Below are 15,530 nucleotides of genomic sequence, written 5' to 3'. Positions count from 1 at the left end.
AACACAAACAAACGGAAAAACATTCCATTCTCACAGATTGGAAGAATCATTATCATTAAATCTACCGATTCAGTGCAATCCCTATAAAATTGTATGTTAAAACTTAATTGTGTTACCTTGTGAATAACTCATGCACACCTCCCACACTGAATAAGTTGTATCTGATTTGTTAGAAGTGAATTTTGTATTATTACATTTTCAGTATAATTACTGTCTTTCCTTCACCAGTCCCCCACAACTGTTTTTGGAGTGTGAATTACTTGTAGGAAGTAGCCCAAGTATAGAAATGCTAGTTGGGGGAACAGTAATTCTGGTTCAAAACCATTAGGAATTCAATTCAGAACATAAACTTTCTTTTTAACAAGCTAATTCTCCTCGGAAATATTTGAGTTTGTTGGTAGAAATGTTTGTGTGAGAGTGCTTTGCTGTTATTTGTAGAGAAGCATTTGGGCCAAGTCTCTTATCTCATTAGCGTCCCTCCACCTCTTATGAGTGGGCAATGTGGTCTCATTGACTTACAGGCACTGACCTGTATTCCTTGTCTCTGTGAGCAGATCCTCTGGGAGCCTCCATGGGATTCCTATGAATATGCACAGTGCAATTGCATTTTTCTCAACATGAAAGAATTCAAATAGTCTGGAAACTTGCCAACTTTAATTCTGACACATCTCGAGATTAGAATGTCAATGTAAATGAAGAAGCAGAGTTGCGCCTTGGTGCTACTGCTTTGGGATCAGAGACTGGAAGATGTCAAGCAGACAGAGCTGTAAATGATCAAGCGTGAGTGCTTTACGTACTGATGGGGAATGCTGGTATCTTTTCATGTCTGCACTCTGTTAATTCTCTAAATCATTATACTATTACTCTTTCTGTTGGGAATAACAAGAAAAACTATTCTATCTGTGTTGCCTGCTCCTGGGACATGTGCCTGTTTGCTTAAATACGGGTCTTTGAATTTAGGATTACAAAACAGTTGTTCAGAAAACAACCACAGCAGTATACTTCAGAAAACCCTTCTCTCTTTTGAGATATAACTGGATTGGTGATTCATGTCTGTTTGTTAATTGCAATAAAGCTGCTATTGTAATTTAGTATGCTTGTTAAGAACAGTCCAACAGTCCTCTAAGGGACAATAGATAACCTGCTATGTGTCTTGCTTAGGGAGCTGGTAATTATTTTACTGTAAATGAATCTAACAATAGCCTATCAGAAAACCACAAGAGGGACAGGCTTTGAGGGAGAAGTGTTAAAATTGAGGCTCTTCTGTATTGACTACATTCGTCAGCCCAAATTACTGGCAATAAGGTTTTTAGAGAGGCTCAAGTAAAGTAAAATAATTAAGATTCTCTTCAGTTACTGTAAAAAGATTCTTAATATGAGTGCATCTTATTTAAGACTCATTTTAGCCTTCCTTTTAATGGAAGTTTTAATGTTTCATATTATGTAATGATGACTTCCCATTTTGAAAAGGTGATCCTACCAGATCAGAGACTTGTAAATTTTTCCTGTAGGAATTGCTTGATTATTATCACTAATTACATTTTAGAACTATCTACTATATTTTATTTGGATTTACATTGATTTTTTCCCCCTGGGAAAAACAGGTGTAATTAAAACCCAGATGGAAGTAATAATTTTGGGTGTCATTGGCAGAGTAAATAAAGAATAGGTTAGGGAAGCACATTTTCTTCCCATGAAAGACTTTGAAAATTATATGTTGACTGAAGAAACTGTAGGCAAGTTATTAGTTTCCATAAAATTTAAGAAGTATATATAGTTCTTAATAAAAAATGGAGTTTGTTATAAATCAAACTGATGACTTTGGTATTTGCATCCTCTCAGTATTAAGATCAAACCTACTTTTATTTATATCCTTTTCATTCCTTCCCTTTATGCCACTATGCTCCAGCCAAACATAATTATTAATTCCAGAAATATTCCATGTAATATTTGTGGTTTTGGCTATGATTTTGCTTGAGCCTTGAATGTTCCTAACCGTAACCTCTGTATATCCAGAACTTAAGACCCCTTCAGACCTTGCTCCCTCGGGAAGTGTTCCTTCATCAGGTGGAATGAATGTCCCCTATCTCTGAATCTCACAATATTGCACGTGCACCTCCCTGCATCCTCAAGGTAGAAGTTTGTATGCTTTGTTCATGATGACCCCATACCCATGGCAGGATAACTGTTGTTCTATATCCGGCCACTTCCTTTATTTTAGAGTTTATTATTATGTATGATGTCTAGTTTTCCATATTTTTCCTGTTAGGCTATGAGCTCATGGTAACCTCCTTATTATGTCAAATAAGGCTACCCATGATCTGATCCCTGTCTTTCTCGTGCAGCCCAAAATTTCCACTGCTTTGGGCTTTATACCTCAGTGTTCCAGTAATGTTTCGGCATTGCTGAGGTATGTATATATTTTTTTTTTGAGATGGAGTCTTATTCTGATGCCCAGGCTGGAATGCATTGGCATGATCTCGGCTCACTGCAACCTCCGCCTCCTGGGTACAAGCGATTCCCCTGCCTCAGCCTCCCAAGTAGCTGGGATTACAGATGCCCGCCACCATGCCCAGTGAATTTTTGTATTTTAGTAGAGATGGGGTTTCACCATGTTGGCCAGGCTGGTCTTGAACTCCTGACCTCAAGTGGTTTGCCCGCCTCCACCTTCCAAAGTGCTGAGATTACAGGATGCTGAGCTATTTTTAATTTCTGGACTTTGATCTAGGTGTTTCTTCCATTTGTAATGTTCTTTATACTCTATCAAGACTCCATTGTCACCTCCTCCAACATCTAGATCAGTTAGCTAATTTCTGTACTCTTGCTATGTACTTCTGTATTATAATCTGAGGTGATCTTACTGGGTAAATGAAAAGCTGACTTTGAAATCTCTATCTTTCTGCCAATTGCCAATTTTGGTCCTAGAGTCTGAGGTGTGTGGGCCCAAAGAAAAGGGCTAGGTGAGCCCAATTGAAAAGGTTGGGGATGTCCTGTGGGAATAAGCCCATGGCTGGACATTTCTGTGAACTTGGTCAGCTCTTTTCTACTTTTGTTTGCTCCTCTTCTCTATTAACACATAAAAATTTTTATAATAGTCTATGTATCAGCCAATCAGTGCCTAGTTTGGGACACTTACTATGTGTGAAGCACTGTACAGGCCTTGAGATTAAAATGTTGAACAAGACAGAATGGTTCCTTGTGGAGCTTAGCTAGTGAGGTAAATAGTTGTAGTATGACCAAGTAATTTTCAGTGTGTTTAATCATACTAAAGTAGCAGTGTACAGTGCCTTTTGAGAATATAGTAGTGATTTATTTATTTTGGGGAATCAGGAAAGGTTTGTATTAGACATGCCATTTAAGCTGAGATCCAAGAAATGAGGAGTTTGCTAAAAAAGCAAGGTGGAGACTGTTTATAGACATTAGCATGAGCAAAAGCCCTGAGGGAGGATAAAATGAGAAGTGGTTGAAGGCCAGCATAGTTAGGTGGGAGAGTTTACACAAGATAATCCTGAAGAGATATAGTAAGGGCTTTATCTTGGAGGTTATGGGAAGCCACATTAAGGATTTTAGACTTTGTCTAAAAGATATAAGAAGTCATTGGAGAATTTTAATGTCATCATGTTTATGTTTTATAACAGTTATTCTGTCTGCATTACAGAAAACAGATCGGGTGGGGAAAAAGTAGAAATGGAGTGTTTGTATTTATCTGATTAGGAGGCTGTTGCTGTGGTCCAAGCATGAGATGACTCTGGTTTAGATTAGTGTGGTAATAGAGATGAAGTAGACAGGTTGGAAACATGTGTAGGAATAGAATGTGACCAGAGAGAGAAAGTAGTTAAGAATGACTTCTAAGCTTGAACAACTTGAGCAACTTGCTTCATGGTGGTGTCATTTTTTTCTGAGATAGGTTTTAGGTAATGTAGGGCATTTGTACTTAGGGACTCTCCAAGATATCCAGATGGTCAATTGGATAGATAAGCCTGATCCTGAGAGGTGGATTTGGAGTCATGGCAGGCATCTGTGTGGATGTAGTTACCTGGGCCACTGATTGTCAAAATGTGGTCCCGTGACCAGCAACATCAGCATCACTTGGATGTTTGGAATTTAGACATGGACTTACTTAGGCCCCAACCTTGACCTACTCTATATCAGAAACTCTGAATGTGAGGCCCAACAATCTGTGTTAATAAGCCTTCCCTGTGGTTCTGATGTACACTGAAGCTTGAGAACCACTGGCCAAAGCAGTGAAATACAGCATGAGGGCATAAGTGTAATTTACATTATTTTACTCCAAAAGCAGTCTTAATTTGTGATGAATTTTATGTTATTCAGCTTTTGTCCATTCTTCCATTGGGTGTGTATATTAATCCATTCTCACAGTACTATAAAGGACTGCCCAAGACTGGGTAAATTATAAAGGAAGAGGTTTAATTGATTCACCGTTCAGCATGGCTGGGGAGGCCTCAGGAAACTTACAATCATGATGGAAAGGGAAGCAAACACGTCCTTCCTCATATGGCAACAGGAAGGAGAAGTGCCAAGCAAAAGGGGGAAAAACCCCTTATAAAACCATTAGATCTCATGAGAACTCACTCACTATCATAAGAACAGCATGAGGGTAACTGTCCCCGTGATTAAATTACCTCCCATTGGGTCCCTCCCATGGCATGTGGTGATTATGGGAACTACAGTTCAAGATGAGATTTGGGTGGGGACACAGCCAAACCATATCAGTATGTTAATGGAGTATATAATAGTCTTAGCGGGAGTTATGTGGTCCTGAGACTGTACTTTACACTAAGATTTTGAAAAATTGTTCATGTAAGATAAGTGCTCATTTTAGAGATGCCATGTTAGTTGGCATAAACAAAATCCAATTGTTATATATTCCTAGAGGAATAAAGAAAAAATTCTATGAGTAAGAAAATAAAAACAAATAAATACTTGTGTTTTTATTAGATGGAGGTCTTTTCAGTTCAAACGTACCGTTCATAAATTATTGAAATATAGGCATCATGTAGAAATTACTTTGATTAAACTCTTTACCTTGGCAACTACTTTCCAAAGGGTAGGATGCTATTTGGTAAGCCTTTTAAAGTTGGTTTTGACAGCTAATTTGCTCACATAATAGCATAAAGTTTCTTCTCTTCTGCATCATATTTTTAAAGAAATTTTTTTCTTTATAGTGAACTCTGATAAATATATAAGATAACTGATGGACTACATCTACATAAAAAAGAATTCAAGTCACTAAATACAATACTCATGACAAATAGAATACATTTAGACTCTTCAGTCCTAGGATTGCATTCTGTCACTATGTTCAAGAATAATACTGAACATTATTAAAAAATGAAAAGCAGATCAGTTGAAAAGGTTTCTTTAAGGCACTACTGAAGTTTATCATAATGGGAGACAGGTAATGATAACTTTCAAGTAATGGAATCTGTGCTACAGTACATTCACTTGACACATTTTCTTTGAATGAAATAGTTTTTTATTTTTTTAAATAAAAGGCAAGCCAGCTTTCTCTTCCCCCATTTAATTAGGGCAGCTACATTGTAGGCACTAGGAAAAGAAAATCGGTGATTTTCAAATCAGTGGGGAGGATACACACACACACACACACACACACACACACACACACACAGACACACATGCATGCACACACACAAAGATGGTACAATAGGAATAGGGTTTGTATAGGTTAATATAATAACATGCAGTACCAAAGAGTGATGCCTGCCCTGAATCTTGAAAGACAAGAAGAGTTAGCCAATATTGAAAGAGGTATTCTCAAATCAGAACATGATAAGAGCTTCTCCTTAGAGCAGGTATAGGTAGCCAAAAATGGTGCAACTCCAGGAAAATTTCTGAGTGGATTTTGATGATATACTTTAGGATAGCATTTCTGTGTGGTGAGTTTGCATTTGATAGGTCTTCTTTTAGATAGGATACTGGGGCTTAACTGGATTTAAACACATAATTCCATATTTTGATAACATAATTTCATAATTTGTTACATCTTCTTTCATGATGTGAACATTGTTTTTTTTTAAAAAAAACTGTAATACATACTACCATTAATTAAAACTTGCATTTAACATCATATACATACAGAAGAAAATACTGTATTCATAGTGTGTTTAATAATACTTGTCAGTGAATATGTCTTTTTATTTTTTAATTATAAGATGAAAAAAGTGGCACTGTTTCTGGAGAGTCCATAGTATATAGCAAACACATATAATTTTTGTACTTGCCACTTTATTTTACATTTATTTGCATACTTGCATGTCTTTCAAGATGATATATACTTGATTTGGCTTAAAAATTCTATCATTTGTTCAGTCTTTCCATATGAATAATGTCTTTCTATATGGATTGCATTTATTAATGCTTATTTATATAGTGTCTTAGCATGATGAGACAATATAATAATATGAAAAAGACTGGTATTTGTTGGGACAAGGAAATGAATCAGATAAAAGTGTTTCTTAAATGAGCAGATGCTGCTTTTGATAAAAAATTTTACAGTGAAGCCTCTTATCGCCACAAACTCTGCCCTGCCAGTGCCCTGTCAACTCATGACTAGGTATGGATCTCAGACACTGGCAGTTGTAGGCAGAAGTAGCATAGGCAGAGCCTGAGCCCTCTCTCCCTGTATTGTCCTTACTTTTGTGCCCTATGCAGTAACTGGACCTTGCTCCACCTACTTTAGAAGTAATAAAAAATGGACAATATTTGCAGATGCCTCCAATTTACCAAGGACCAGAAAAGATAATAGTTTGTATAGAAATCTGAAGTTTGGCCAGGTGCAGTGGCTCATACCTGTAATCCCAGGTATTGGAAGGCTGAGATAGGAGGATTGCTTGAGCCCAGGGGTTTTAGACCAGCTAGGGCAACAGGGTGAGGTTGCATTTCTACATAAAATAGAAAAATTAAAATTAGCCAGGCATGGTGGTGCTCGCCTGTGGTCCCAGCTATTGGAAAGGCTGGTGGGAGGAGGATTGTTTGAGCACAGGAGGTTGAGGCTTTAGTGAGCCCCGTTCATGCCACTGCATTCCAGTCTGGGCAACAGAGCAAGACTTGGTCTCAAAAAAAAAAAAAAAAAAAAAAAAAAAAAAAAAAAAAAAAAGAGAAATGTGAAGTTTAACTCATATCTCTACCCTGGGAATGTAGTTTTCGCTTCTGGCTCCTTTTTTTTTTTTTTTTTTTTTATTAGATAAACGACAAAAACAAAATTTTTGAAACCCAGCAAGTTTACCTCTTTGGCATTGTTTTCCTATTGCTGCCACCACATAGCTGAAGCCTGTTCCTGGGCAAAACCATGAGCTAGGTGAAGTTTGTCTTAAGACAACTCCTGCCTCCCTTTTCTATCTCTGCTATCCACAAAACATCTAATACTCTTGAGTTCCTTCCACCCTGTGAGACTTCACACAATGTTATTGATTGGTTGCATCCTAATATCCTACTCCTTTTAGGGATATCAGCTTTTTAAAAGAGAATGTCTTGGGGGGAATAATATATAACACATAGAGAGATAAATCTCTAATGGTAGAATTTAAAACATCATGGTGGTGCTGTGTTGATGAGTGAGAAAATTGGGGACAGAGACTTTTGTCTAATTCTAAAGTAAATGTATCAGTGACTGCTTCCTCTGTTTGTTTTGTGAAGCTGGGGTTATTATTTATAATTAGTGCCAATTAAAAAATGTCTTGAATTACCATACTTAAATAGATAGCATACAGGCATGAATGGGCCAGAATTTACTACTTCTTCTTTGAAAAAGATACTCTGTAATGATACAGAGAATGAACCGACACTATTTTTATACAATGACTCATGAACTCATAGACATGAAGGAATGATCATTGTTCCACATTTCAATTTGTGGTCTATCCTGGAATAATATTTTAATTAATCCAGCAAACACCTTTATGGATGAGAAGTAATATTACCCCTGGAGAATAGTATATAGAAAAAAAGTTAATATAATCTGAAAGCTCAAAAAAGAAAAAAAATATTACCCCTATTAAGTCTATTAAAGATTGGGTCAAAAGATAATTCAAGGTTAAGAATGTCCTCCTTAGAAGTTGCCCAGTAAATCGGTGAGAGAATTGGGAGAAGAAAATCTGAGCTTCTGGCCTCTTAGGGCATGGAGTCACTGTTTCCTTTGAGGCCATGTTTATAATCACAGTAAGTGACCTGGGGAGACTAGCGCTCCTAGCAATGAAACAGATGGCATGAAGTTCCCATCACCCTGCAGCTCATCAGCCATAACTGACCAACTGGGAAACAAATGTTAAATAATAACAAATTAGGGTATGTTTAAATAATGACATTGAATAAATCTTAGTAATTTTACATTTTCAAAGGACTTTACAATTGTTTTTTATTACCCATTCAAATTACCTAAAATTCCCCTAAATCACTATGTTTTTTTAATGCCTCAGAAAAGGTATGTTTGAGACCATGCGTATTCTGATGATGCATTTGTATTAAGAAGAAAGAAAGATTATCAACCCCACAGCTTGGTAAGTTTCTATAAAAATTTATGGAAATATAGCACGTTAGCACTAAAGGGAATTTTGGACATATGGAAGAATTGAATTTGTAGTTGTGATCCTCAGACCAAACTTATGATCAAAATCATCCAGAAAACATGGTATTGAATCAGTTAAGGGCGGCCTTTGGGGAAACAAACTTTCTGGATCATGGGAAAGCTAGGGTAGAGAAATTGATCAAAGACACCCGGGCCTTGACTTTGCTTTCTTCATCTGAATGAGGCTGTGACCTTGCTCATGCTGAGCTTGATTCAAGAAATAGGAGAGCTGCTGTTTGTAAACATTCCTTTAAATGGAAGCATGTCTATTGCATCATAAGTTCTTTCTGGCTAAGTGATTTTAACTATGTGTATAAGAGGGCAGTGGCATGACAAAAATGTGGCAATTTCACATGTCTGGCAGGAAAATGCCGTAGTCTTAGCTATTTAACTGGGGACTTAGTCTAATTTTACAGTGGGTGTATGTAAGTTCAGTTAGGCCTCAATTTTATAGATGAGGGAAATGCACTTTATGGAAGAAAAGTAACTTGCCTAAACTGATGTTCTTAGTGCCAGAGCTGGAGATAGAACCTAGATCCCTTTTTTTTTTTTTTTTTTGGGAGACATAGTCTTGCTCTGTTGCCAAGGCTGGAGTGCAATAGTGCGATCTTGGCTCGCTGCAACCTCTGTCTCCTGGGTTCAAGCGATTCTCCTGTCTCAGCCACCCCAGTAGCTGGGATTACAGGCATATGCCACCATGCCTGGCTAATTACTGTATTTTTAATAGGGACAGGGTTTCACCATGTTGGCCAGGCTGGTCTTCAACTCCTGACCTCAAGTGATCCACCCACCTCAGCCTCTCAAAGTGCTGGGATTACAGGTGTGAGCCACCGTGCCTGGCTCCCTGGTTTCTTTTAATGACAGTGTTAGATTTCAGTCATTTTTATATTCATTCATGTGTTTATGCATTTAGTGAATTAGTTATTACTTATGTTTGTAGAGATACAGCAGTCACTGTTCTCATAAATATTACATTATATTCAAGGAAGACAGACAATAAACTAAGTAAGTAAAATATGCTTTAATATATGTTTAAACATGTTTAAAGTATGTTAGGTTGTGGTAAGTGCTATTTCAAAAATCAACTCTAAAAGAGGCATGCCCCCATGTGTGAGAGCAGGCTGCTGTGATTTTAGGATAGATTGGTTAGGGAAGGCCTCACTGACTTGGGTAATCAGTCATTAACCCAGTCATGTAGACTTTAATCCTGTAATGCCTACAAAAATCTATTTTCCTTTAAATTTCCCTGAATAAAAACAGAAACCCCTTCTTTTCTTGACCACAAATGCTTGTTTTCTTTCTCTTTCTTTCTCATATTTTTAGAGCTTTCATTATCCTGCCCCTAGTCTAATTTTCAAAAAATCAAACCTGGATCATCTCACTCTGCTACTCTGAAATCTTGAGCAATTTCTAAGCAGACCTTTCTTGGGCCTGTGCAGACTCAGTGCTTCTGCCCTTCTGGGTCTTTGCACATTGTGTTTTCTTTTAGGAATGTTCTTCTACCCTTTGAAACCCTAGCCATGTTTCACAGTCCATCTCAAATAATGTCCCTTCCATGAAATTTTTTTCTGATTCCTTTGTCCTTGCTCACCCCATCCTTCAATCCTTGATGATAAGAATTGGTCTCTAAAGCATATTTTCATTAGTACAGCTCCTGACAAATTATCACTGCTCCAAAATGGTTTGTTAAATCAAATTGATATTTATCAGATTCCATTGAGAATCAGAGATCTCAACACAAAGTAGAGATTTTGATTTGGGTTCAATATACTGCTCATGAAAGTGCAGCTGAGGCTTAGGAGAAAAAGTGTTTAATAGAATACATTTCCAACAGAAAAAGGCTTTTAGTAATATAGCCTATTCTATGTTCAGAGACAGTTGGAGAGAATGTACTCACGTGAATTTATGTGGGCAGCTGGCTGTCAGCTGAACCATGTGGGAAGGAATCTGCCTTAAACTGTTTTCTGCTAAAATAAGCAACATTTTAGAAATGTTGTCTATCTCTTTAGATTAGTACTAAATTATCCCACAGCTCTTTGAAGCTCATCAAGTTGATAATTGTTTTCAATGATCTGTAAACAAGCTTGCTTGCTTGCTTTAAACAGTTAACTCTTGCTTATTTGCAAGATGCAGGTAACAAAGATGCAGGTAAAGATGAAGGTAACAAAGGATTGGAATTTAATAGGGGGAATTCAGTATATCAGCGTCCTTTCCCATTGGTTCCTGCCCTACAGCATATCATGCTGTACAACTGTGGGTACCAAAACTTCACTTCTGGGAGATTTAGCCCTTTATCCACCCTGAGCCACATTTACCAATATGAGAAAACTGCTTCTTCAACAGAGTCTGGAAATGGTTGGCTGTTTCCATATCTAGTATCCCTGGCATTAAGGTAGTGGGGCAGCCTCCCAGTTGGCCGTGCATTTTCCCTGGATGCCAATCTCACCGTCTAATCTTCCCTGCAACTAGCCAGTCAGTGCCTGGTCTTCTCTGTTTCTGCTTTGTAATCAAGTCAAAAATAGTGCTGCTATCCAGCCTTAAATTCTCTATTCACAGATTTGATTCCTGTTGGGCGAAAACCTAAAAAAAAAGAAAATCTTGCTTAGACAATTAGTTTCTGCAGGGCAAGTTTTTCAGAGATATATTTGCCAAAAGGGTATGTATAAAATAAAACAAAATTCCCATCTGCTGTTTCCAGCAGAAATGTCTGATTTGGAAATATCTTCTGTACCCAGAGGATTTGACACTGTTGGGCAAGCTTATAGACCTAAATCTGGATCTCTCCTCTTAAACAGAGGAGGCCCTTTAATCCAAGAAAATTTTGTTTGTAAATGGGCCCGTGCCCTTGTCAGGTGATGTTCATGATCTCATTTTAAGAAGAGACAGGTTAAAAATAGTAAACTGTATGATGTGAGACTTTTCCCCCTGATTTTCTGTGTTAATGTGTTTAAATTTCATTTTAAGTGTTAACACTTCATTAGTTAGAAATGTAATTGGGTGTTTTTCCTCATACTTTGAAGCTGAGTATGGAGTATTATAACTGTACTCACTAAGTCCATCTGCAGCCTATCACCTACCCATTTATCCTAGCCAGAACCTTAGGAATTATTTTTAGATATCTAAAATGGGGATGTGTTTTGCCTTTTAAATATCTCTTATTAAGGTCACCAGCAACCTGCATGTTGCAAAATCCAATGGACAAATTTTAATCCTCGTTTTTCTTTACTGTTAAAAAGGCACAGATGATCATTCTTTCTTCCTTGAAATGCTTTCTTCCCCTGGCTTCCAGTAAAGCCATGTGCTCCTAGTGTTTCACTAATTTCCCTAGTCGCTACTCAGTCATCTTTGCTTACTCCTCTTCCTTTTACTGATCTCTAATAATTAGAGCACCCTAGGTATCAGTTCATGGACCTCTTCCCTAGTAACAGTGACTCTCTAGTGATTTCATCCAGGCTTGTGGTTTAAAAATACCATTGATATGCTGATGACTCCCAAATTTATCTGTCTATCCCAGACTTCTTTCCTATATATCCAGACTCATATATCCAATGGTCCCCTTCTCATCAGCATTTCGATATTTACTTAGATTTGAAACCCAGTATATCCAAAGAAGAACTCCTCCTCATTCCTATTTAAGCTGTTTCCCATGGTTCTCCTCATTTCAACAAATAGCTGTTTTATCCTTGCACATGCTCAGGGCATAAAACTTGAGGTTATCCTTGAGTCCTCTTTCTTTTGTTGTTTTCATATTTTATATCCAATCTGTTGGGAAATCCTTTTGGTTCTTTCTTCAGAATATATGCAGAATACAGGTACTTCTCACTAACTTTACCTCTCCCAGCCACCAACATCTTTAACCTACTTATTACAGCTTCCTAACTAGTCTCCTTATTTCTGTCCTTGGCACCTTATAGTATTTGTTGAAGATACCAGTAACAATTACCATGTCACTTATCTACTCCAAACCCTTCAATATTTTCCCGCCTCTCTCAGAGCAGAAGTCAAAGGCCTTACAGTGTCTTACAGGGGACTATATTATCTGACTACTCGTTAAGCCTCTGAAATCATTTTTTTTATGATTCTCCTCCCATTCACAATATAGCAGCCACACTGGGCTCTTCCTCTCTGAGCAAACATACAGGATCAGACTGTCAAATCTGATAAACATGCATTAGAGATCTTGCCCAGTATCAAACTCTATTAATTAATGTCAAAGATACAGGCATTCTAACAGCTTAGACAAATGAGAGAGAGGTCCAGGATATCCAGGGCAGCTTCCAAGGTCCTTTCCACATTGGACAGGATTCTCTGGCTCAGAGCAGATGAAGTCTCCATATGATGTTCATGGGATTACTTCACATAGCAGGAATATTTAAATTATGAAACATCTCCATTTAATACTCTAGACAGTTCTATCTGTTGAAAATATTATCTAGGGAGATATACCTCATAAATCTTGCGTTCTGTTTACTATAGGAATCATTAGCTAGGGACATCTTGCTACGGGTATTTCAGAGATTGTTTCTGCCTCTTGGATAAATACTGTTAGTGTATTTACTTAGAAGTCCAGAGGACAAGGGGTGTAGACATAGTCAACTGCCTTCTCTTCAACCCCCACTCCCATTTCTTTTCTCCCACTCATACAAGCACAGCACTGCTGCAGGGCTTCTGTACTTGCTCTTCTCTATTATGGAAATGCTCTGGACTTAGATCTTCTCATAGCCGGCTCATTCACTTCATTCAGGCCTTTACTAGCATTCAGGCCTTTACTAACCCTCCCTGGCTACTCTGTATAAGATTTCAATCCCACTCCCTGATATATCCTCTTCCTCTTTCCAGCATTTTTCTCTTTTATACTTATCCCTATCTGAAATACTATTATATTATTTATTTATCTTGTTTATAGATTGTTTGTGCCATTAGAATATAAGTTCCTGTGGGATGAGATTTTTGTTTACTGTTTTATTCTTAGTGCCTTGAATGATACCCAGCCATAGTAGGTTCTACTGTGTATTTATTGATTGAATTCTTGTTTTTGCATCCCTACTACCACTACCTTGGCTGAGGACCTCATCATTTCTCACTTAAATTTCCACTGTCATCTCCTAACAGACTACTGGTATATTGTTTCCAACATGATCTTTTTAAAAGCCAAATCTGGTCATATCTCTCTCTCCAGCTTTATATTCTTCAGTCTATCCCCATAACCTTCAGGGTAAAATCATATTTCTTAGCATGACACCCAAGTCGTTGCTTACCTTTCTGACCTCAATGCAGTCCCTTTCTCACTTATACATATTTGTCTTTCCCCCGAAGGTCTTAATGCATTTTGTTTCTGAATTTTTATGCCTGAAATGGCCTATCTGAATCATCTGAATAACTAGCTCCTTGATGATTTAGCCTAAAACGATTTCCTGATGTTTCACTTTATTTTCTTTAGTCTGGATTAAGAATTCTCCTGTAGAAACCAGTACCTCTGTCTGCTATATCATTTACATGTTATGTTATACTTATTCTAGAAAGTATATGTCTTATTCACTAGACACCAGCCTTCCTGAGTTCTGTTCAAGACATTGGTAATTTAGTTCATAGTAGATCTTCACAATGTGCTGAATGAATGAAGCCCTGAATCAGAGAGTAAAGGGAATTTAGACTGGTAATAGCTTTTTAAAAAATATTTCTGACTTGGTCATACAAGACAAAGAAGAATAATTCCTTAATTAGTTTTCACCAATTTCATTTGTACTATACACAAAGAACAACAACTAAGTCAGTATTTCAGTGGGCTCTGGTCAGGGAGGGAAATCATGTTGTGGGGAGGTGTTGGTGAATATACGGGGAATATTATGAGGTTCATTTACCTCAGAGAGCTAAACTATGATGAGAGAACTTTCAGGAGACTTGTTCATCTTTATCCTATACTTAAAGGCGGTGGAGAAATTAGCCATAATTAAATGCTTGTCATGTTATTAAATAGATGAATTTAAAGAAGTTAATGGAAGTTTCTTGACCTATGAACTTGTTACATTATACTGAGAATTACGTGTTAACTAGAGAAGGGCATCTTTTTTACTGAGATTCATAGTGCTTGGCTTCCTGGAATTTTCATTCCTGATTCCAAATATCCCTCATTTCAAACATCATGTTTTTTTATCCTCATGTATTTACGCTGTAATCAAGAATAGTAAGAATTGCCATTTTAAAATTATCATTTATCTACTGATTTAATTTAAGCTGGTCTGTTTTTATTAAATTCACAAATGGGAAGCTTGATAAGACAATAAAAAATTCTCTATTGTCACGTATTTATAGTATAATTTTATGTCTGTAATTTTTAATACCTGTTTCGATTGTATACTCCTTTAGAGAAAGTTTCTTCCTCATATTTCACATGAAAATGACTTATTCTTACATATTTTCTAAAGTACCACAACCCAGTATGATTAAATTGTTTTGCAAAATAGAATTCTGAAGTGTATAAGAATATTGTCATGAAAATATAGGTAGAGACCTTCACATTACCTTATAGGTGCCATCCCAAAATTTTGAATCTACTTTGTTGTTTTAGTTAACATCATCTCTCTTGATTAGGTCTAAAAATGAATTACCTTGTACCATATTCTGCTCTGTAGTGAACTGGCCAAGGGGACAATGTACCTTAATCCCACTTTTGTAGAATTCAAATTACAGTTTACATACAGTCATGAGCCACATAATGATGTTTCAGTTAACAATGAGCTGCATGTATGATGGTGGTCCCGTAAGATTAAAATGGAGCTGAAATATTCCTATTGCCTAGTGAAGTCATAGCTGTCATAGCATTGTAGCACAATGCACTACTCGTGTGTTTGTGGCGATGCTGGTGTAAACAAACCTACTGTGCTGCCAGTTGTATAAAAGTCTAGCCCAAACAATTTTGTACATT

The 15,530-nt window shown here is 37.1% G+C and overlaps 1 protein-coding gene across 26 annotated transcripts in view, besides 1 other annotated feature; it reads left to right on the top strand.

Annotated features, from left to right (window-relative positions):
- IMMP2L (inner mitochondrial membrane peptidase subunit 2) overlaps nucleotides 1–15,530 on the top strand; it is an 899,849-nt gene that overhangs the window by 286,785 nt on the left and 597,534 nt on the right. Inside the window, exon 4 of one of the 26 annotated variants that reach the window (XM_047420931.1) lies at nucleotides 555–14,910. The exons of the other annotated variants lie outside the window; for them this stretch is intronic. Within the exon in view, the coding sequence (XP_047276887.1) occupies nucleotides 555–621 (67 nt within the window). The 3' untranslated portion in view covers nucleotides 622–14,910. Of the gene's footprint in view, nucleotides 1–554; nucleotides 14,911–15,530 lie in introns of those variants that run through there. 26 annotated transcript variants of the gene reach the window in all.
- Nucleotides 1,149–1,349: a silencer, noted in NCBI's record as "peak6688 fragment used in MPRA reporter construct". NCBI's record gives its function as "represses an SCP1 promoter by STARR-seq MPRAs in K562 erythroleukemia cells {active_cell/tissue: K562}" and the evidence as "EXISTENCE:reporter gene assay evidence [ECO:0000049][PMID:32103011]".

This window comes from Homo sapiens, chromosome 7 (genome assembly GCF_000001405.40).
Source record: "Homo sapiens chromosome 7, GRCh38.p14 Primary Assembly".
Taxonomy (NCBI): Eukaryota; Metazoa; Chordata; class Mammalia; order Primates; family Hominidae; genus Homo; species Homo sapiens.
The sequence above is the reverse complement of the archived record's forward strand: the minus strand, read 5'-3'. Positions and strand labels throughout refer to the sequence as shown.